The sequence below is a fragment of the Homo sapiens genome, chromosome 4 (assembly GCF_000001405.40).
Source record: "Homo sapiens chromosome 4, GRCh38.p14 Primary Assembly".
Lineage (NCBI taxonomy): Eukaryota > Metazoa > Chordata > Mammalia > Primates > Hominidae > Homo > Homo sapiens.
In genome coordinates this window covers 90,944,610-90,969,887 of record NC_000004.12, presented here as the reverse complement: position 1 = coordinate 90,969,887, position 25,278 = coordinate 90,944,610, and the positions used below count along the sequence as shown (strand labels likewise).

Here is a 25,278-nt window from a genome sequence, read left to right as displayed (position 1 = left end):
TATAACTTTCAACATATTATTTTCATTCTAATCATTTTAAACACTTTTGTCTTTTACCTTTAGATTAGAATTACAAGTAGTTTACACACTACCACTGCTGCATCAGATAATTATGACATTAACTATATATTTACCTTTGCCAGTGAGTTTTATGCTTTCATATGTTCCTCTTACCAAACAGCATATTTTGCTTCATCTTGAAGAACTCCCTTTACCATTTTTTAAGGCATGTCTAATGTTAATAAATTCCCTCTAAATTTTTGTTAGACATTTTATAGATTGTCATTTTGTTCATCTGGGAAAGTGTTTATCTCTTCTTTATTTCTTAAGGACAGTTTTTGTGGGTGTAGTATCTTGGTTGGCAGTCTTTTTCTTTCAGAATTTTGAATATATTATCTCACTCTCCTAGACTGGAAGCTTTCTGCTGAGAAATCATCTAATAGCTTAATGGGGTTTCCTTGCTTATAACAAGTGGCTTTTGTCTTGCTATTTTCAAAATTCTTTCTTTGTCCTTTACTTTTCATAATATTTTTATCGTGTGTCTTGGTATATTCTTTTTGAAGTTATTCTGTTTTAGAAATCTTTTAACTTCATGAACGTGGATGTTCATATCCCTCTCAAGATTTGGCACATTTTCAGTTATTATATCTTTAAATAAGCTCTCTTTTCCTTTTGTTATCTTCAGACACTTACATAATGTGTATACTGTTTCATTTAATTGTGTCCCATAGATCTCACTGGCTTACTTAACTCTTTTGTGTTCTTTTTTTATATCCTCTGACTGGATGATTTCAAATGACCTGTCTTTACATTCACAGATGCTTTCTTCTGCTTGAGTCTGCTCATGAAAGACTATTTCAATTTTTATTCCATTTATTGTCTTCAGTCCTGTATTTGTTTTTTTAAATAATTTCTGTCTCTTTGTTGAACTTTACATTTTGTTCATATATTGTTTTTCTTCTTTTTGTTCATTTTTCTGTGTTTCTGTAGCATCTTGAGCTTCCTTAAAACAATTATTTTGATTTTTTTTTAGATATTTCATAGATCTCTAATATTTTCAGGTTGGTTAGTGGAAAACTATTATGTTCTGTCATAGTGTTATGTTTCCTTGAGTTTTTGTGTTCAATGCAGTCTTTCATTACAGTCTTTTCATTTGGTGAAGATGTAACTTCCTGTAGAATTTATCATCTCTGGAGAGAAATACCTTCACCAATCAGCCTGGATATGGATTCTTGGGGTCTCCCAGACCTTTTCTATGGATGTACCTGTTCCACTCCTCCTGTTCCCTCTTGAGGAAAAGTTTAAGTATTGTATGTCTTCTCTCAATTCTACAAAGCCATGTTGGGTGCTGAGAGTCCCCTGTTTATTTTCTCCCTAGGGCAGTTTGCTCTGAAGTGCTTAGGTTCTGTGCTTTCTCCCAGTCCAGCAGTCTGTCAAGGTGACTATATGTGCTACAGTACAGTCTTCAGAGGTTTGCATGTGCTATCTGTGGGGGCACACATGGAGCACCTGCTAAGGAAGGGATGAATGCTGGGGGCATGTGTGGGTTAGTTGAGGAAATCTGCAAGGGATGCATATCACAAGCTTCATAAGTGAACCTTTTGGTGGAGTTCTTGGCTCTTTTTTAAAGTTCTTTCGACATACTATTTTGGTTCTTTTATTATTATTATTATTATTTTATGTTAATATTTTAACATATTATTTTAAGTTCTGTTCTCTGGTGTCTGTGAGCCTATCTTTCTTTTTTCTACTCTTAAATATCTGCAGGATACTTACACCTACTGTTCTCATGTTATCTGTGAGGTTTGGAAGGGGCATGCCTCTTAGACAGCATTCCACATGATTAAGGAAGGTAGGAATTCACTACGCTTTCAGTTTTCTCCGTTAGAGAAATCATGGATTAAGAGGGTCTCTCTTGGCACTGAGCTTTACTGCCTTGGGAAAAGGGGTGATGCTGATAAAGTAAAACTGTTCTTCTTACTTTTTTCAGTGTGTCTATTTTTGGATTATTTATCCCATTGGGCTGCTGGCACTTTTCCAGTGGACTCCCAGGTTCTCATAACAGTGCTTTTGTCCATGGGAGATTGTGAAAAAATATGTTTCTTAGGGTGGAATAAGGGCTGAAAACTTCTATTTTATCATCTTGCTGGCATCAACTCGAAGAACAAATTCTTAATTTTGTTGAAATCCAATTTATATTGTTATAGTTGTTTATTGTGCTTTAGGTGTTGTATCTAAGAAACCATCACTAACCATTATTGGATTTACTCATTTATTTTTTTATAAAAATTTTGTAGTATTAGCTATTACATTTAGGTCTATAATCCAGTTTAAGTTATTTTTGTATATGTTGTGAGGTAGGTGTCCAACTTCTTTCTTTTGCTTGTGGATATATTGTTGTCCCAGCACCATGGGTTGAAAATACTTTTTTTTTTCTTTGAGACAAAGTCTTGCTCTGTCGCCCAGGCTGGAGTGAATTGCTGTGATCTCAGCTCACTGCAACCTGCACCTCTTGGGTTCAAGCGATTCTCCTGCCTCAGCCTCCCGGGTAGCTGGGACCATAGGTGCACTCCACCACGCCCAGCTAATTTTTTGTATTTTTAATGGAGATAGGGTTTCATCATTTTGGCCAGGCTGGTCTCGAATTCCTCACCTCAGCTGATCTTCCCACCTCGGCCTCCCAAAGGGCTGTGATTACAAGCATGAGCCACCACACCCAGCCCAAAATGACTTTCCTTTTACCATTGAGATGTATTGGCACACTTGTTGAAAATCAATTGGTCATAAATATTAGGGTTTAGTTTTGGATTCTCAATTCTATTTAATTTATCAATCTCTCTGACCTTATGCCAGTACCACACTCCCTTGATTATTTTAGCTTCATAATAAATTTTGAAATTGAAAAGTGTAGGTTATCCAATTTTGTTTTTCATTTTCAAGATTGTTTTGGATATTTTATGTACTTTGTATTTCCATGTGAAATTTAGGATCAACTTGTCAATTTCTTCAGAGAAGCTAGCTGGGATTTTGATAGGAATTGTGATGAATCTGTAGGTCAATCTGGATTATATTATCATCTTAACAATATTAAGCCTATTGACCCATGAACATACATCAATATAGTTTTACAACTATTGCTTTCTGCAATTGTATTTGATATCAGATAAGAGTAATAAATAAAAATAAATGTATAAGTTTTCATATTTTCCTGTGTAGTTATACAGTTGCTCTTTATCCCTTCCACGGATTCAATTGGCGATTTATTGTCCTTCTCTTTCAGTCTGAAGGACTTTCTTTAAAATTTCTTATAAGGCAGGTTTCCTAGCAATGAATTCGCGCAGTTTTTGTTTATCTGGGAACATCTCAATTTCTCTTTCATTTTTGAAAGACAGTTTGGTTGGATAAGAAATATTGGCAGCTTTTATCCTTTGTTTCAGTACTGAATATATCATCCCACTTTCTTCTGGCCTCCCTGCTTTTGATAAGAAGTCAGCCATCTTTTTGAGGAGACTTTTGTGTGATGAGTGGCTCTTCTCTTGCTGTCTTCACATTTTTTTTTCTTTGTCTTTCAACAGTTCAACTACTATGTGTTGAAATATGCATCTCTTTAAATTATACCACATGGACTTCAAGTTTCTTAGGCAGATCAATGTTTTTCATAACATTTAAGAAAATTCTGGCCATCATATCTTCAAATAGTCTTTCTGCCACTTTCTCTTCACTCCTTCTTAAATCTCATGTGTATGTTGATACACTTCACAGCGTTTTTACAGGTTTCTGAGTCTCTGTTCATTTTTATTCATTCTTTTATTTTTCTCTTTATCAGATTGGATAATCTCTATGAATCTATCTTAAATTTAACTGATTATTTATTTGCCTGCTCAAATATACTGTTGAGTCCATGAAGGTACTTTCATTTCAGTTACTATACTTTTCAACTCCAGAATTTCTATTTGGTACTTAAAAATATTTCCTATCTCTTTGCTGATTTCTTTATTCAGGAAAAAAAGCACTTTCGTTTAGTTCTTTAGACATGGCTTCCATCACTTCTTAAATACATAAAATAGGTTCTTTTGACTATTTTTTCCCTCTCTTATGAGTCACACTTTCTTGTGTCTTCTCACGTCTTTTACATTTTTTGGCAATTGGACATTTTCATATAATGTAGAAACTCTAAAAATCAGATTCTTCTCTTTCACATGGCTTGTTGTTGCAGTTCATTGATTTTGGTGTCATCTTTTTTTAATGAAATATTCTGAAAAGTCTTTATTCTTGTCATCTGTAGTTCACTGAAGTCCCTGGTGGATTACAATAGTGATCAACTTACAATTAAACAAAGATTATCTTGAATGTATTGGCCAATAAGTCTCCCGGCTTTTGCCAATTGGTTTTGTGTATGTATTGGGGGCATGTCTTCAACGATCTGATGGTTTGCAGTCAGCCTTAGCTTTTCCTTCCTACCTATGCAGAAACTCAAGGTCACCCAGAGGTGAGAAAACAGGGCCTTGTCAGGTCTTTCTTGGGCATACACACAGCCTTGAATATGGGCACACCCCTGCACTTGTTGTGGCTTTCTAGGTTCCAGAGAATTTATAAGAAGCCTTTTTAAAGGCCTCTGTAGACATATCATCTCCCAGATTTTCCATTTAAGATTTTGGTCAGACTCATTTTCCCCAACTTGTATCACTGCCTCAAGCAACTGAAATATTAAACAATTGATTGTTTCTGTCAAATGTCCTGTGGATAGGATAGGGCTTTTTGCAATGAGTAAGCCCTGAGTTCAAATAAAAACAAGTCTTGTAAATGGCCCTGTTCTAGGGAGCTGGTAGACAATTCAAATATTGATAAAACTCTGGGAATGAGGCTTTTGGGGGTAGCTCCACATAGATAAGGCCCCCTTAGTGGCTACAAAGGTGATCTTTTACACAGATGTCTTTGTTGCAAGGTCACCGGATAGCAAGGCAACTGCACATGAGGTAGAGAAAGTGGGCAAGTTAAAATAACACAATGTTTGCTGTTAGAACTGAGATTCAACCATTTACCCCTAATAAACACTCCGTGGTATCGAAAGCCTTTGGTGGATTTCCAGAATTTAAAAAGTTGATTTGGACAATTTTTGCCCATATTCTTGTTGCTTTTTTTTTTTTTTTTTTTTTGGAGACAGAGTCTTGCTCTGGCTCTGTCGCCCAGGCTGGAATGCAGTGGCACAATCTCGGATCACTGCAAGCTCTGCCTCCCGGGTTCATGCCATTCTCCTGGATCAGCCTCCCGAGTAGCTGAGACAACAGGCGCCTGCCACCACACCCAGCTAAGTTTTTTGTATTTTTAGTAGAGACGGGTTCCACCATGTTAGTCAGGATGGTCCCGATCTCCTGACCTCGTGATCTGCCCGCCTTGGCCTCCCAAAGTGTGGGATTACAAGTGTGAGCCACCACGCCTGGCCTATCCTTGTTGCTTTTATGGAATAGCAGATTTTCAGATGCCTTTACTGTGTTATTCTAGAACTGCTGCTTTTTATTACATGTCTCTTAAAGAATTTTTATTTTCTCTATTACCAGGCAGTTCCATGTTAAAAATACATATCTGTTATTATATTTATAGATACAAAAAAAATCACAATTTATGGGAATACTTCAATTTGGAAACAATGTTATTTTTAGTTGTTCACTTCTATGAACTATGTTGTGATCAGCACCTATTTACAGAAAACTTTAAGCAACTGCATTGTTTACTTAAAATAATTTCTAAAAGAAGAATTCAGTAAAAATACATGAACATTTTTAAGGCCACTTTTAGGGAGGTATGTCAATTTTATATAATTTGCTCTCCACAAATAGTGTAAAAAAGAGTTCTTCTTGCATTAAAATAATTGGTTTCTAATAATGAACTGCTGGAAATCACACAAATTAGTGAGAAAAAATGTTGTTTTTCTACCCCAGAAATTCTTTATTAACAAAAGCAAGAGAAGAAGAAAATAAAAAGAATATTTGACAACTCCTAACTTCTTGAAGCCCTATTAAATTTTCTTTATTTTTTTTTACTTGAACCTTTCAATAGATCATAAGGCAATACGTTAGTTTGCTAAAGGCAGCCACAACAAAATACCACAGACTGGGTGGCTTAAATGCCATGTGAGAAACTGAGAAATTTATTTTCACACAATTATGGAGGCTGGGATTCTAAAATCAAGGTGTCAGCAGGTCTGGTTTCACTTGAGGCCTCTGTCCTCTCCAATGGATGCAGATGGCTGCCTTCTCACTGTGCCCTCAAATGGCCTTTTCTCGGTGCATGTTTTCCGTCTTCTTACAAGGACACCAGTCATGTTGGATTAGGGTGTACTTTCATTTAAATGACTTAATTTAATGTTAAATACTTCCCTAAGGCCCTATCTCTAAGTATTCACATTCTAAGCTACTGTGGGTTATGACTTCAAATATGAATTTTGGGGACACAAATCAGTCCATAACAAAAAAAATGTATATATGTATTTCATAATATATGTTTATATATATCTCCATATTTGCATCTCTATCATCTATAGATCTATCTGTCATCAATTTTCATAATTCATAGACTCTGCTGTTAAGGAACCTAGTTTTGGGATTCTGTTAGATCACATCCTCGGAGATTCAAGATGCTATTCAATAGATGTACTGATCAAATTTGCTTCAGAATTTTTAAATGAAAGCTTAGTTTCCTCAAACGCCTTTAAATAGACTAATCTAGGGAACTATATAATAAGAGCTGTTCAGTACAACTATAAATATCCAATAACAAATTTTGTTAAAATACTATTCTACCTTAAAAAGAAACCTGAACAATTAGCAATGTATTGAAATCCAATATGATTTATTTTACTAAAGAATAATGGTATTCGGATTTAAAACATGATTTTTTTTTTGCTAAACTAGAACAATATATAATTACCTAAATCCATGTTCTAATTTGTTCCTTTCATGCTACTCTGGCTGCATTATCATTAATGCTGATAAATTGCCTAGAGTGACTAGTAGAATTTTTCATTATCCAAAAGTGAATAAATGAATATTAAAATAGCCCTGTATGAAAAACATGCACACTCTGGCTACAGTGTAGAAAAAAACAATCCTGTTGTGCCTGTGATACTAGCTAGAAGGTGAAAGGTAAGAACCCAAGACATGGCTTGTCTTTTGCCATTAGTAAATATTCTGTCATCTCTAATGTACAGTACCCTACTAAATATTTCTTGCTTGAACATTACACATTTCAAATGATTTTTTACCAAGCTCTAAACTTTTCCACATGTAATATGGTTATATTCAGTTAAAAATATTACCTATGTGGGCCACTGAAGCACATTCTGAGAAGCAAGTTTACAGGGCATATAAGTATTCAGAATTTCAAATACTCTTTTATTTTACTGTCAAATTGAATTTAGATTAAAATATTCCTTTTTTAAAATTAAGCTAATGTAGTCAAAATAATATTCTTTCATTGCTATGTTTAAATAGTATATTAAATACAGAAGTATAAAATATTTTTTATGGTTTTGACTGTGATATTGCAAAAAGCCATCATTCCTATTTTATAATGAAGAAATCAACAATCTTGCCATTTTCCATTTCTCATACCCATTTACATCTTAGTATGCTTATCTTTACTAAGAGATTTTTTTTTACATTGGCATCATAATGTTTGAGGAGATGTGAATGGTACAGAATGTTCTGTGAGTTGGCAAGATCTGAGTCTTATTCTTGGATCCACTATTAACATGTATTATCATAGACAAGTTACTGAACTTCTAAATCTCAGTTCTTCTCAAATGGGGATAAATATTTTCTCAAAGTGTTATGAGAATTAAATGGGAATTCTCATTAACATAGAAAAAGTGCTCAATGGGGGACTTTAAACAATGTTTTTTGTTTTTGTTTTTGTTTTCCTGAAATGTGATTATCTAAGCATTCTGAGTATTCAATCTTTTCTCATTTTCTGTTGGTGCCATCAGGCTAAATGAGAAAAAGGTCAATCCAAATTAATTAATTTCAAGAATCTATTGTCAACTTTCAGATCAGAAAAAGGAACTGTTTAAAACAATTCTATATTATATTGACATTGAAGCCTATTAAGAATATTATATTCTAGTCTTTAGTAATTGCAATATTTTTCTACCATGCTGAATAGTAATTAAAAGTGTATATGTTTGATTTTTATATTTATGAATATAAATGTACTTACTTAAAATTAAAATAATATCATTATAAACATTATATTTGTAAGCCAAATTTGTAAAATCTATCACTGATCTCTAATCCATTCTTAAGGTGTCAGTACTTTATGAATGAAACTTTATATTAACATTCAAATATTCATATGAAACATTTTCTTTTGCTTTCAACATATTATTCTATTTTGTCTAAGTTTCATGTATATATGTTATTCATACATTTAATATAGGTATAGACATGTACCTACAAGATCAGATTCATAAGGTTAAAGGCTAAAAGATGGATCAGGTGATCTAATGGTTGACCATTTTTGGTCCTTGAATTGAGCTACAGTTACTATCTCATATATATTTAAGGATTTTACCTATGAATAGGAGAAAGAGGCAAGCTAGAAGGTCTATACTGGAACTGGGAAGAAACATTTGATGAATGCTGGATAGGGAAAAGAAGGGGATCTGGGTGTAACTATTGGGAAAGTGAACTCTAAATAAGGAACGCATGATGACAGGTAAGCAATTTTAACCTGGGAGGTCTGGGAATATAACACAAAGAACAGGATAAAGTAGCATCTTTAGAGCAGGTGCTAATGGGGAATCTAAGAGTTTGTCAACATTAGGGCAATTCTGGTGCTCTAGTGGCTGGGAATGAAAGCACAGCTGTAAATGCAAGATATAATTAGGGAGACAGGTTGCATAGTCATTATGAGCATGAACTCTGAGCCAAACTGCCTGTGTTACTTCACTTTTCTATCCTTTATTTACCTCACATATTAAATGGGGATAAAAATAGTACCTTCCTTATAGTATTTGTGAAACACTTGTAGCAGTGTCTTAACATATATTAAGGTGCTAAATAAGTATTTCACAACTTCATAGAAACTTCTAGACCCAATCTAGTCTTGTAGCTAAGAATAAGAACATAATTCCAGCTAATGCAGCAAGGAGTCGAGAATCAGGATTCCAGGTACAGCGGTTCCATAAACAGAATAAGAGCTCTGAGGTGAAGGCAAGTGTAGCTTTCATACCGAAAATGAAAGCCCATTGGTCAGCAGTGAGGCATTTAGTTCACAGAGAAGTGACACTGGAAGAAGATACAACTAAATCTGTCTGAGCTGGGGATAGGCTGAGAGTGGTGGAGATCAGATAAATCTGCTTCTCACTTCTGTCTAACTTGGCTTAGGAATTGAGGTGCAGTTGAGGTTTCAGGTAAGAAGCCTGAACCTAATGATGTAGACTGGGTAGAATAAATAGGAGCAATGAGTAAAGACTGACAAGATACCAGAACATAGGTGAGGAGTCAAATATTTCTACTGTGGGGAAAGGAGTGGTGCAAAGGTTAGAAACAAGGCATTTCATGTTTCTGTGTAGTTTTTCTAGTGAGTATAATGTTCTTAATGGCTGAATCCATTTCAGAATAATGTCTAATTTTTAATCTCTGTATTCTTGAACTATGCTTCATGATGTTTTGCATATAAAAGCATTACGTAAAATCCTTTTTTTAAAAAAAATGAATGATTAATGAAAACAATGTGAACAGGCTATCTCTGTGAAAGACGATTTCAGGTATCTTTCCATTCTAACTCATGGCATTAAATGTCCAATTATTACAAAGGAAAGCTATTTCCTTATCTTTGAAAAATGGAATTTAAGCGATTCTTGCCGAACTGTCTTGCTGGAGCACAATTAAGAGACAGACATAGACAAATCTAATGTCAAAGCAAAAGGCATAATTAAAATTCTGGATTTGGGTATTAGATTGAAGCAGACGCAGTAACGTGGAAAGAAGCTCCAGAATACAAAGCATGTGTATTAAATGACAGACTCAGAGTCAAGAGTTCAGAGGTCACAGGCAAGAAGAGAGGTGCTGGATTAAAGGTCAAGGTTGACTGAGATAGGCAAAGAAGGCAAATTGCTATCAGAGAAAACAAACGAAAAAAAAAAAAAGAAAACCCGAGGCAGAACTTCCACAGGATGCAGAAGTCTCTTTATCTGATCATATATTAGGAAGTCCCAGGTAATGGTGTCAAATTTATCTTTGGCACATTATTCAATTCTATGATGCCTAGTTTTCTCATAAATAAAGTGAGGGCACTTTAAGTTATTTTTAGGATTAAATGGTATAAGACTTATAAATCCCTTAAAGTAGTGCATAGCATATATAGTAAGTTTTAAATAAAAGAACAAAGAAAACTCAGGTGTGCCACTTACTAATGGTTTGGACTTTGGAAAATGTATCTTCCCTGAGTCTCAGTTTGTTTATATAAGAATTTACTGGGCAGCTATTTTTGGCATTAGATGAAATGGATTCCAACATCTGACCAAGTGCCTGGCATAGAGTAGGTGGCCAAGAAATAGAATAATCACAATGATTAACCCGTATTATTGACACGTATTATAGAAATATAATATAGATATTGGAAATAGGCAAAGAATACTGCATGTTCTTCCAGTGGAGCACTGTGCTACAGCAGGATGCACTGACTTCCTTTTAATGAGGCTGTTTTATAATTCTGTAAGAGCAGATGTTCCCTTATAGAAAATTTACAGCAGAGATGCAAATTATTTACATCTGTTCAACAGATAACTCCTGTAATCTTATTCTAACATTCTCTGTTCCTTATAAATATCTAATTCCTCAAATGCAATTTGAAATGATTTTAACGTGTTACTGGTAACCTAATTACTTTGTTATATAAAATCTTTGACCAAGATTCATTTTAAATTTGCATGAGACTCCTGTTTTTAACTTTTTGAAAATTATACTCTAATAATCTAAACACAAGTAGAGACAGAAGAAGGATGGTATCTGTCTTAATCTGCTCAGGCTACTAGAGCAAAATACCATAGTCTGGGTGGCTTAAACAACAAGTATTTATTTCTGACAATTCTGGAGGGTGGGAAGTCCAAGATCAGTGTCTGCTGAGGATTTGCTTCATAAATGGCTGTCTTTTCACTGGGTTCTCATGTGGCAGTCACTCTGGACCCTTATAAGGACATGAATCCTGTTCACGAGAATTCCACCCTCATGAGCTTATCTGATCCTAATTATCTCCCAAGGGAGGGACACGAGACTACAAGACCTGTCTCTAAGGTTAGCAAGTGGGCTGCAGCCATCACACTGGACTGCATGCAGCCTTCTCGACCCAAAACACACAGCCTGCTCCAGAATGTCAGTGCAGAAAAAAAAAAAATGTTTTACCATAAACTCAAGCAAAGGCATGTTGGCTGACAGCCCTAGAGAGGAAACCTTACCCAAGAGGTATGCAGGGAGACCACAAGGGATATAGCCAATAACTACAACAGTTTGAAACCTGAGAGCTATTACTTTACTGTTTTATTAGCCTCTTGCATAATTTAAAAAGAAGACAGGAAAACCAGCAGACAACTAGTTACTTATTATAAACTTTATCACAGTTGGTATAGTAGAAACTCAGTTGTTTCACGACCTAGTTACATTGCCCTTGACCATTTGGATTGTATAAGATCATAGTTTTCTGAAAAAAAGAAGGATTATTTCTAATTCAGAGAAAATTCAGAGGTCTTAAACATTAAATAAAACTTGATGCATCCCATAAATAAATTTTCAAAATATCTCCAAGAGGATTCCACACACATCTAATAGAATGCTCTTAATTATGTGCTGGAGTTTGGAAGATCCCCCAGCTAACCTAGAAGCTCTCTCAAGTAACTCCTTCAAACTGTAACACATTATTCACTATTTTTTTCAATTTATTAAATATGCCTTTTCAAGCTTGCTGCAGGTGTAAGTTTGAATTAGGATGTTATTTTTAAGAGCCAAGACAGAGTCCCTAGTCCTTTCATCATTTTATGTCAATATGTGATAATCTGTTAGGCTGAGTATTGCCTAAATATTTAACAAGACATAAACAAGCGTTCTCCATCAGGGGAAATTTCAGTTTAAAAATCCAAATCTTACCTTTTGTTAGCTGTGTGTGTATGTGTGGGTATATATATATATATATACACCATGAAATTATACATATACCATGAAATTATATAGTTATATATATAATTATATATTATATATTATATAGAATATATACAATATAATATATATTATATATAATATAAATAATAATATATTATATAATATAATTATATAATATATATAATATAATTATATAATATATATAATATATGATATTATGTTATATTATATAATATTATATAATAATATTATAATATAAATTATGTATATATTATTTATATACCATGAAATTGCTGTTCGTTTTTAGAGTCACCTCAATTAGAAATATCAGGCTGGGGCTAGGCACGGTGGCTCACGCCTGTAATCCCAGCATTTTGGGAGGCCAAGGCAGGCAGATCACAAGGTCAAGAGTTGAAGACCAGCCTGGCCAAGATGGTGAAACCCCATCTCTATTAAAAACAAAAAAATTAGCTGGACGTGGTGGGGGGGGCCTGTAATCCCAGGTAGTCGGGAGGCTGAGGCAGAGAATTGCTTGAACCCGGGAGGCAGAGGTTGCAGTGAGCCGAGATCGCGCCACTGCACTCCAGCCTGGGTGACAGAGCGAGACTCTGTCTCAAAAAAAAAAAAAAAAAAAAAAGGAAAGAAAGAAATATCAGGCTGGATCTGCTGCTGATTCATGCCTGTAATCCTAGCACTTTGGTAGGCCAAGGAAGGAAGATTGCTGAGGTCAGGAATTCAAGACCAGCCTGGGCAACATAGTGAGATCCTGTCTCTACAAAAAAAAAAAAAAAGGCTGGTTGTGGTGGCACACACCTGTAGTCCCAGCTACACAGCTACTCAGGGGGCTGATGCAGGAGGAATGCTTGAGCTCAGGAGTTCAAAGCTTCAGTGAACTGTGATCAGGCCACTGCACTCCAGCCTGGGTGACAGAGTTAAAATACTGTCTTTTAAAGAAAAAAAAAAAAAAAAGAAGAGGAAGAAAAGAAAAGAATATCAGATGGAGTTCTGCCTTCATACTTCCTGGGAAATCCTTGTATAAACCAGTAACATAGCACTTCTTAAAGTGTCTGTTAATTGCTTATTTACATATTTCTCTCCATAAGAAACCTAATTTTGAAAATTAATACAAATTCTTTTCTCTATGTCTCATATACAGCATCTTTCCAGGAAACAGAAGTTTCTCAACTTTTATTAAATGGATTAATGGATAGGTAAATTAATTTAAAAAGGAATCATTTTAGATGCCTGTCTGAATAGTGTCCCTCCATCACTAGGGACATGTTCAAGAGATTTTCTTACCTACCTATGCCACCCACATAGTATTTCATATATAGTATTTAATTTTATTCTTAGGAAAATCCTATGCCTTAGCTATCCTGCCCTATTTTTTCTATACGAAGAAATGAAGGATTTGCAAGTTAAGTAAGTTGTCCCAGAAAATAGTTAGTAGGTCTTTCTTAAGCCAAAATCTGACCTGAAACCACTGTATAATAATGCTTCTGTAGGTTTTTATTTTATTGAAATTATATAAAAATCATTTTTATCTTTTGACAAAGTTCTAAGGCACTTGGCAATATCAATACACGTTTTTATTTATGGAAATTAATTTTACCCACTTTAAATATTTACTAAACACTTATGATGTGTCCAGCACTGTTCTCGGTCCTACACCCATCTTGCAGTGAGGAAGTGAGAGATTCTTGGCCCAGAGAGACACAGAATAAACAAATGCATTGATATATATATATAATACACAAGAAAAACATTAGATGTTAGTAAATCTTGTGCAGAACATTACATCTGTGTGATGTGGGAGAGAGTATCTATTTTAGATTGGCTTCTTTAGATTGAATGGTAAGGAATAGTCTTTCGAAGCAGGACATATTTAAGTTATGATCTGAATTACGAATAAGTAGAATGGTGGTAAGACGGAGAAGCCTTTCAGAGGGAGGAAACAGCTAGTACAAATACCCCAAGACAGGACTTAATTTGTTTCAGTAATAGAAATGAGGCATGTGCAGGAGGGCAAGAAGAATAAGACCATCTTTTGAAGCTGGAAAGGCAATCAGGAGTCAGATAATATAAATAGTAAATCAGAGTAAGGGTTTTAGATTTTAAGTGTGATTAAATGCTTGGAATGGAATGTCCTGAGGCAGAATCCTCTGGCCACAGCTTTGTCAGTTTACCCCAATATACTACTTAAATATTATCATTATCTATCTGTAGCACAACATGAAAAGGCTGGGAAGCAGTGTGAGGGAGTGTTTACTATTGGGAGTTTGATTTAATGTGACTTGAAGTTGTAGGATATTTATACTCATTGGTCCAATTTCCTTCAGTTGATTTGCCTTATTTTTGTGAGCTAATGCTTGCCTGCTGCAGCCTCTTAGGACTAGTTTTCCAGCTCTTACAGAAGGATTAAAACCAACACAAGTGTAGCACTCCCGAAAAGTGACATGGGCCTTGTGCATTACAAGCATCTGATATCCTTCATTCATAGGGTGTTTACTGAGTGTCTTTTTGGGACCAGCTGGGTCTTCCAAGTGCAGGGGTATAGCAATGAAAAACATAGGATAAAATCTGCCTTCCTTGAGTTTATATTCAAATGGGGAAACAGAATAAATACATAGAACACGAACACGTTCGATGGTAACAAGTGCTAATGAGAAATATTAACCAAGGAAGGGAAATAGATAATGTAGATAAATATTTACAATCTTATTTTGGCCATGAAAGACTTGAGGAGGTGAAACACTAAGCATAAAAGTATCTGGTGGAAGATAGTTCCAGGCAGAAAGATCAGAGCCCTAAAGCTAGGGCATACATGTATATAGAAGAATCAAAGCTAGTGTGGCAATAGCTAAGTGGGTATGTATGAAGAGAGAAGTTAGAGAAGTTGTTTTAACCAAAATCAACCATTTTATCACTTGATAATCATTTTTTTTTAGTAAATGTACTGCATACCCTCAACACATAAAAACGAATTTCAAAGCCATCATAGTTTCCCTAGTTGAAACTTACTTCAATAGAATTTATAGAGAAATATTCACAGAGATTGATACTTCCTATGCATCATTTGTTTTCATTCAGCACATGTTTTATTCAATCCTACACTAAGTGGAAGCTGAAAGCACTATTTAATGTGTTAGTTCATGTGTGAACTACCATGGAATAATATTAAACGAAATTCATCTATTTTATCAGCTACTTGGGATGAGAACTATGTTAAGAATTCCTTCAGATCCTTGTGATTCACTAATATAATCATCTTTTATGAAACAAATACCTAGTGAAATATTAAGTAAACTGTAATTTAAATATAAACAAAAACTGAAATGAATTATAAAATTGGCTAACTAATTGGCAAAATTCAATACAAATAAAAATGTTAACTACTAAAATGTTCATGTTATAATAAAATATGTTTTGGAGAGAAGGAATACATATAGAAATTGTATTACAGAATCTTTTTACTTTGAGGTATGCAAAATGTATTTTCTACTTTATTCTGCAAATATAGCATACAAATTTTGTTTCATGTAGTCACATATGAAGGAACTGATAACAAATAAAATACTGTAGAATGTATTTGCTTTCCAATGCAGCCTATAAATTATTTCTTTAAAGAGAAATGTTATAAAAATCATTAGTTTCTTAAATGAAAGTATTTATGTAAAAATCAACAAACATTTTCCAAATTGGTAAGCATTCAATCCGATAGTAGAAGCTGTATGCTACTTTTATGAGAGGCAACACGGAGTGTAATTAAAGAAAAATTTATGAACCTCTTTTGTTATGACAACTCTATTGAGCTTTGTAATTTTTCTCTTATTGCTAAAAAGACTATTGGAAAAGCTATGTGGATTTATAATATGATAAGGGATTTTAAAAAATAGTTTGTTGCTTGTTATTTGAGTGTTTACAGATACAAATCACTCACCAAAACCTATACTATGGATGAAATTATTCAGTCAATTATCAAAAAATGTGAGTCAATACAAAATTCTCTATACACATCTGCACATTTACTTGTAAAAAGTATATACACATGGATGTAAATATACACATATATCCAAAGGATAAATAAGTAAAGAATATTTATATTTAACTATATTAACATACATAGATATAGGAATGTATAGGTGTATTTATATATTGTAATGAATGCAGGTGAAATAAAGTTTGATCCTCTTCATATTTATTTAGCTTTCAATTATTTAAAAATAATTGTATATCTAAAATATTTCTAGGATAAATAATTTATCTAATTGCCTTGACAATAGTAAATGTTCAATAAATATTTACTGAATTAACATTGCTAGTAAGAAAAGTTTCATTGTAAAATAGAACATTTTTATTTTGCTAAATTTATGTTTGTTAAAATAAAAAAAAATCAATGAAATACTACTTTAAATGAGAATTGCTTTCCTAAAATTAAAGTTGAAAAAATTTTTTCCTTGATGTTCTAAGATGATCACCTTCAGTTCTGTTATAATTTTCTAATTTATATCAGAACTTTGCCACTAATATGCCAATCACTTTTTGTTTTGTTTAGTAACTATAACAATAAAAGTTAACTAGATGACAAAATTGCATATGAACATAACACATGGATGTCAAAACTCATATTTCACTGAAGTTGCATCTGAAAATCCTTTATACAGAAAATAATATAAATATGCCCCAAAATACTAAAGGTAAAGATAAGGACAATATTAAAGCAAAATATTAAAGGTAAAGACGGACAATATTAAAGCAGAAACTATTTAGATAATTTTTCTATGGTCTTTAAATTTAGAACTTGGAAAAATTTATAACACAGGATCATTATTAGATTTCTGTGTGAGTCTCAAGGGTGTTTCTAGAATACAGGAAATAGAATCTTCTGGAGCCTAGTGGGAGTGGGCAGAAGCACCTGGAAAAACAGTCTATGATTTAAATTTATTTTCCTAGATATCTTGGTCAAAACTTGTCACAGGAAAGTGAGGGACTGAAAACAGAACTATACAGAGCTAACCTCGGCAAATATGATAGGCTATCACCTTGAATAATAGAGACTCAGTCCCAGGCCAGTTGTAGGAAATCAAGTGTCTAGGACTATGACATTATGATGCTTCCTCAGGCAAAAAAGGAATTCTATGAGATAGTAAACAAGTCCCATTTTTATTTACCTGAAAAGTGCTACAAAATATTTTTATGTTATCAATCAAGATTTCAACATTGTTAACAATGACCACCTAGAGCAGGGTTTCTCCTTGGCAATATTAACCTGGTGGGCAGGATAATTCTTGGCTGAGGTGAGCTGCCTTGTGCACTGTGGGATATTAAGTAGCATACCTGGCCTCTTCCCATTACTTTTTAGTGGCATCTCTGAAGTGTAGCATCCAAAACTATCTCTAGGTATTGCTCAGTGTTCACTGGGGGGCAAAAATGCCTCTGATTGAGTATTGCTGCTCTAAAGATGGTAACAAAAAGAATTAACATGTGTTACCCAAATATTATTTTTTTACCTTTCCTCTCATATAGTTTGACTTGATATTTTCTTTTTATATATTTGCTTTGCTCCCTTCTAATAAATATTTTCCTAATATATCAACAGAAAAAGTATTTAATTGTCTCTGTTGATGTATGCATGTATGCCTCCATTAAAGGTGACTTTACTGGTGAATTTTTCTCATAATGTGATTTAAGTTTTAGTTTTTCTTAATATTCCACCCCAAATTGACAGTTAGTGTTTTATCCCTATTCATGATAGTAAAAGGGAGAAAAGCAAGGTGTGTCTGTATGTGTGTGCGTGTAAAATTAACATTCAGAAAATCCCTAGAGAATTAGCCTACTATATCTGTTAACCTAAAATATGAGTGTTCATGTGTGACAATTACCTAATCACCTCAGTATCCTCTCCTTAGAAAATACAACTTTCTACTTGCAATTATGAAAGCCAGACTTAAAGAATTTAGAAGCATTCAGAATAAATCACAATTACCTATGCTCACTGAAAGTCTTTAAAATGTGTCTTTAGGAAGCTGGACATCAAATTCTATTTCTCTTTGCAGTATATGCAAAGCATTAACAAAATGTAGTTTTTGATAACATCTCTTCATTAATATTTACAAATGTACTTCGTACATTTTTTATCATGTTGGACTTCTGACAAAACCTTGTGAACCTTCTACAGAATATACTGCAAATAGTAGAATTTATGGAAATGTATAAAGAAGAATATCTCCCCTTGCAGTATTCTTTCCGCCTCATGAGACATTTATGAAAGGAAGAAAAGTAACCGAAAAAAGTTTCCTTACTTTTTCACACATTCTCTATTGAAAAAGGGAGTGATGCCCTTCACAACATTTTCCTTCCTTTTTATACCCCAAAGATTTCTCTTCTCAATGGAATGCCTTGATAAACTATTCAGTTACTGAGTAGTTTTTTAAAGTAAATTTTATTACCTCTTCCTGGACAAGAGTACTAGAGGAAAAGCTTTGTGTTAAGGGCATGCTGTCATTTTCTGCTATACCTTGCTAAATAAGTAAACAAATCCAGAGCCTTGAGGGATGAGTCATTGGCTCACTAACCTTCAGACATGAAGTGGTGAGCCACAGGATTCATGACGTTAACGCTCCTGAGAAATCATACAGAGGTATTTGTTAGTGAGATAAATTTTATTTATTCTCCTAATCTCTACCAATGCTAAGTAAAATTTCTAGGCTAATACTCCCTTTAACTTTGCTTATAAAAGTGCATATACCAGGCACCTAGTGCCCAATAAACAATTTTTCAGTGAAAATCAATGATAAAAGATATCACACTAGTTTGTGATTAGCTATGCTAAAGATATTTATGAAACTTAGAAATGTAACATATAGGTCTCTAAAAGTATGGGACAAAAGAGAGCACGGGAATAGCATGTTAGCTCTGCTCCAATTACATGTAGGATAAACAAATACAGACTCCACAGTACAATCGTATTGTTTTCAAGAATACCCTGGAGTCAGCAAAAGTGGTTATCTCTATACCCAAGATAACCAGGCTGAAACCCTGCTGTTTTTAATGGCCATATATGCTTGTTAAAAAGGTTATCACTGTATGCCTCTTGGCTCTATAGTTACACAAAAGCCTGTACCAAAAACAGAGATGACTTCCTTTCTCTCTTTCTGAATCAGACAGCTAGAGCTGTGGGAATTCAACGTGTGTGTATGTGTGTGTGTGCACGCGTGCACGTGTGTGTGTATGTGTATGTTTTGTTTTAAGAGTTTCTATATTTGATTAGTAGGTGATGATATTAGGCTGCAGCACCATAATTCAGTTTTGTTCTTTGTTTATTCAGGTCTTCAACAGCAGACGTACTCAGTAATAAAAATATATCTCAGTTTCCATCACGTTTATTTAGTCTCAGGGAAAAAAAATTAAAAGACCTCAGTGTAATGGCTCAGAAATGTAGAAGCTATATGATCAAATAAAAATCAAACTCATTAATTTTTTTACAGATATCTATAACATATAGCCATGAAAATGTTACCAAGGATGTCTATTGACTTTTTAATTTTACTTTCTCTTTTTATTAACATGTTGTTTTAATTGGGATTTAGCAGGTAGTCCAGGTTAGCTAACTGTGGTTCTTCTTGCACATCTCCATCCTCATTTGCCTGGCAATGTAACAAAAGCATTCCTCCCTTTTTGCACTTTTCAGATACAGATAATCACTCCTATCACCATACCTGGTGGAGGGGTGTGGTATGATAGCAGAGGGCTTAGTCTTTATTGTCAGACTAACGTAAGGGACACATAGCACTTATTGTGACAGCAGGCAAGTTTTTTATCCTTTTTAGGCCTCTATATGTTCATCCGTACAGTAGGGATAATTCTAGAGTCTGCTACTTAGAGTCATCATGGGTATTAAATGAGATATAAATGCTCTATATGTTCATCAGTACAGTAGGGATAATTCTAGAGTCTGCTACTTAGAATCATTATGGCTATTAAATGAGATGTAAATGCCATAGGTTAGGAATAATAGTTATTTTGCCTACTGTGTATGCCCAACAACAACAGAAATACCTGGCACAAAACAGTTGCTCAGTACATAGTTTGTCAAATGAATGAATGCATGAAGGACATGGCACTTATTTTACTTGCATTGTAATGATTCGTTTTCCTCATATATCACATGAAAACAAAACCTATAACTCCAGTTGGGAATTTAGTTAACAAATGAATTCTTAGATGGTGTTGCCCCCTGACTCACTGTAGTGACAACAAAATCATTGTGACACACCCTACACACTCCTATTTACCGTATTATGTTCTGATTTTTTTTAGCAGTTTAATATGTTTTACCAGTCTGATATTATAATATTCTTGCAAGTTAGGTATTTATTTTGTTATGTGTTTTTATATCATCTACTCTATTATGGTTTTATTCTTCTTAAGGGTAAAGAAATTCTTAAATATTTGATGGAACCGAAAAGATTAAATTGGGTTGCTATGCAGCAGATTGCTCACATAAACAGACATCAAATGTGTCTTTTTCATACAAAAATTAATAAAAGGAAGCAGAAGAGTAAACAGAACATATCAAAAAGCACCAAGTAGGTCTGTGTCTGATACTCATGAGGTACTAAATATGTTAGCATCTCTTTCTCTATACAAATTTATAAGATAATCCTAAAATTTAATAAGTTGAAAGGTGATCTCTAATTGTGGTAAAATACATTATGCTCATAAAATTATCACATTCCACGTCAGACATATTCTTGTTACGCTAATTATAATAACATTAAAAAGTATTGTGATTATGCCTACATATCCTGCTAGACTCTATTCATCTGTGGTTGGTCAGTACGTGGTATTATATGGTTCATAGCCTAAGGACCCAACACACTGTAAGTTTTTAGTAAACATTTCTTGAATAAATAATTAAACAAAAAATCATGTGAATTCATGTGAATCATGAATTCCTAGAGAAGTCTGACTGAGAAATAAAATTATGCTGAACTTAATAGTCTGATATTTTACCTAATTCTATTTTTTACAAAGCATAAGAATGCATGTAAATATGCAATTTTATGATGCATATAAATGCTTAAAATTTCAGAATCTACAAAACTTAGAAAATTATTGCCAAACAGTGAGAATTGATATATTCTCATAATCTGTGTATTAATTTAAAAATTCTATTGACAAGATTTTAAATTGTGACAATAAAACATGGCCTCATAATACTTCTCGTATTTATAAATCTTTGTTTTCATCCTATGTGTTGTAAATATAGAAAAAGAATAAACGAAAAAAATTGAGAACAAGAAAATATGTATCTCTAAAACTCTGATTAATGTTCTCTTCCAGCTTCAATAATTATTTTTTAAATCCTGAAAATGAATTGGAAAAGATTGCCTGAAAAGTGAAGACACTAATTTCATATATATATTTATTTATATTTACATTTATATTTGGATTATAGTTAAAGTAAAACAACAGATTTTGGGTAATGCTAACCACCATCTTGATATAATGAATGTTTACCTAACTATTGTTGTACAATGAAAACCATTTGAATCAATTACTATAGTAGGAATTCGCAAATTAATTACAGACTGGAAAAAAAAATAGTACCAAGGATTTCACTTTACACTCAACACTGAAAAAAGGGCAGAAAGATGCAGTTTACTTTGTTTATGAACTAAAATTACAGTAGACAATTTTCTAATTAAGTACAAATGTAAATTGGGTAATGTGGGAATTAAAGGTGGTCATATTTTTATATCTTAAAGGTTGAAAATACAACACATGATTTAGGAGATGCTATGGGAAGGTTTACCATTAAGTTAGCACAGAGAAAAAATTACATGATACCTATTTTTTCAGTTGATGCAAATTATCTATTTCTGGATCAAGCAAAGCATATTGTTTGGGAACAGGAAAGTCATTTTTGTTCACACATTTAAGATATTATACTTGTCACTTACAGTCTCTAGAGATACTTGCAAAGGAAAAAATGTGCTTCATGATAGGTTGTAAGGAGATAAATGACTAAAAAGTGTTGTTGAAATAACACTGTCATTGTGAATTAATTCTGACAAGTATAATAATGCTTAGATTATATATCAGCAAGTATGACTGTTTTAATAGTTAAAATAAGCTGGAATAGGACTGTGGTAATATCAACAAGTTCCAGGCAATTCAGTAGATAATGCATTGATTGCAAGTAGAAATATTTTTTAAAATGTTGAAATATTTGAAAAATCTAGTTGAGCTGCTGAAACATAGCTGGAGAATATGGTGTAAATAATGTTTATGTCATATGTTAAAAATTGAGATAGCTTTATGTACATGTGATATATTAAGGAGAAATATTCAATTACAGGTTAAAAAATTTAATTACATTTTTCTGAAAAACATGATGGAATCCAAGATATTTCGTGTCAGTAACATAGCATATTTACCAAATGATACTTTCCATATTTTCATTAAGACCAGATTAATCCATGGAAAAACAGATAAAATAGTAGGCATTAGTGCTGTTTGCTGGTTAAACTTCATTTCCCCACTTGTAGGCATATGTTGATTTGCTCCTCCTTGCTCCCTGGAGTGAGTTACCTGTGATCATGTGACTTGCTATGTTTTGATCAATGAAATATGAGTAGAAGTATTATATGTCACTTCTGGGTGGAAATTTAAGATCTGTTGTACAATCTAAGACATTCTTCTCTTTCCCGCTGAGACTGCAACATAACAGAGGAGGATTGTTCCACCAGTCTGAGTCTTAGAGTGAGGGAGCCTGGAGAAGCGTTGCTTGCTGAACAGCAATAGATACATAGCACAAGCAAGAAATCAATATTTGATGTTATGAGTCACTTCTAATATTTGGGAATTGTTGTTTCTCCAGTGCCATCTAGCTTACTCTGACTGATAATGGATATAGTTTATTCTGTGCTATGGGTGAGGTTTGGATACAGTATAGTGGTAAAGGGTGTTAAAATCTGAAATCAAGACTGCTTATATTTACATTCTAGTTATGTCACCATTTGTTTGACATGAACAGCCTTAAGAATTTCATGTTACCTTTCTAGGTCATAATTTACTCCTCTATAATCTCTTTTTTTTTTTTTTTTGAGGTGCAGTCTTGCCTCCAGGCTGGAGTGCAGTGGCATGATCTAGGCTCACTGTAACCTCAGTCTCCCAGGTTCAACAGAGTCTCCTACCTCCGCCTCCAGAATAGTTGGGATTAGAGGCGCCTGGAACCACGCCTGGCTAATTTTCGTATTTTTAGTAGAGACAAGTTTTCACCACGTTGGCCAGGCCGGTCTCGAACTCCTAATCTCGAGTGATACACCCACCTCAGCCTCCCAAAGTGTTGGGATTACAGGCATGGGCCACCGCACCCAGCCTCCTCCATAAATTGAGAATAATATTACAATCTTTCTTGAGTTTGCTGTTGTTTTTAAGATTACATAAGTCAATATACATAATAAAGCACTTAGAACATTGTCACAGCAGCACCTAATAAATATTAGTCATTATTCTCTTCGAGGACTTAAAATTAAAGTATCTTGTATTTGCTCATGCTTATAAAATTAGCATTATATCAATCATTATAATTATTAGTGTCACTCTTAATTGTAATTATAAAAATCAAAGGCAAAAAGTTATCTTATTAAAATTTTAGTTTATTTTTTGAAAAGTGGCATACCAATGTGATGTATATGTGATATTTCCCTATTGAGCAGAATACTTGATTGCTAATAATACTAGTCATGTAATTGTGAGCAAGTTACTTAACTCCTCTATATTTCAGTTTTCTTTCTTGTAAAAGGAAATCATATAGAGTAATTACTTTATAGCTTTCGTGAGGATCAAAATATTTAAAATATGTAAAACTTTTAGAACAACCCCTGACATAGATTAAAAAAAAATGTTAGCCATTATTGAACTGTAGAGTGATTTAGAGAAGATAGAGTTCAATGATGCCTGGAGAAGTTATGAAATATATTGGGGTAGGGAGAAGCATATGGAACTTGGTTTTCTTTTCATACAAACAAGCTAAGCGAGAAGAAATAGCATTAGCGGTTCGGGCACTAAAGGTGCTGAGACTTGAGGGTAGAAATAACACAGTCTGTTTGTGGAAAAGCAGGAGAACAGAGAAATCAGGCTGCAAATATTGTATTCGGGTTTTCTTATGTGTTTTCTCTTATGGGAATTGTCATGTATTTCTGATACACACCAAGTAAAAGAAAATGGACTATAAAACAACACAGATTTTATAACTCATTAAATAAAACAACATCTGAAGTATTTTGAGAAAGGCAATTATATTCAATAAAATATGTAATGAAGTCTATAGTATAACTGAAAGAAAGACATAATAAAGAAGGAACATGATCCATTCCATTTAGCTGAATGTGTTATTATTCTATCAGGGCTAATTCTGCATAAATAGCAAATGAAAAAATAATTTTAAAAAATACCTCTAATTTAAAATATGATATATAAATTTAAATTATTGGCTCTTCTCTTTTTGTAGTATATTATGACACACATCCAGAAAAAAAACTGAATATTAGTTTTTTTCCTAGTTAAATCACTAAATTCTTTGTCCTTCAAAATTTCTGAGTTTGCTGAAAGTGAAAAAATGAAGGGAAACATAAAGATAATCATCAAGAAAAGCAATCTCTCCTATCTCTCACTTCAACTTGTTTTAAAACATTCAAAACACGGAAGAGAAACCAAAATAACTGTGGTCTCGATCAGATAAACATTTTCTATAAAGCATTTTCTTCACAATAATAGAGACATGAAAAATCCAAGACATGATTTACCATTCATGTCAATGGTGTATATCATGCTCAGAGTGAATGGTGGAGACAGAGCAGGTGGGGAAGAAGGAGTTATAGCAACTGATTTGTCTTCACGAGAAAGAAAACAGGTAACTTCTAATCTCTGTCAACAAGAAAATTAGTCCTGCAGGTCAATAGACTAATAGTATTTGGTAGAAGGAGGGTCCTTACATATGGAAATGTTAACAGCATGTCCCAGGTTAAGGACTTATTTGACTAAATGAACTTAGAATTTATGGATTTATGAGCATGGCACTCTGGAAAATGCCACAATGTTGGGATATAAAATAGAG

At 33.6% G+C, this 25,278-nt stretch overlaps 1 protein-coding gene across 19 annotated transcripts in view; it reads right to left on the bottom strand.

Moving 5' to 3' along the window:
- The window catches only part of CCSER1 (coiled-coil serine rich protein 1), a 1,477,902-nt gene that overhangs the window by 635,408 nt on the left and 817,216 nt on the right, over positions 1–25,278 (bottom strand). For 3 of the 19 annotated variants that reach the window (XR_001741218.2, XM_011531951.2, XM_011531950.3), the window contains one exon: positions 18,728–18,774. The exons of 13 other annotated variants lie outside the window; for them this stretch is intronic. Coding sequence is in view for 4 of the 6 variants with exons in the window: in XM_011531951.2 (XP_011530253.1) it covers positions 18,766–18,774 (9 nt within the window). In the remaining 2 variants the exon portion in view is untranslated. Of the gene's footprint in view, positions 1–18,575; positions 18,775–25,278 lie in introns of those variants that run through there. 3 more of the 19 variants (XM_011531946.3, XM_011531949.3, XM_017008199.2) reach the window with 1 other exon arrangement.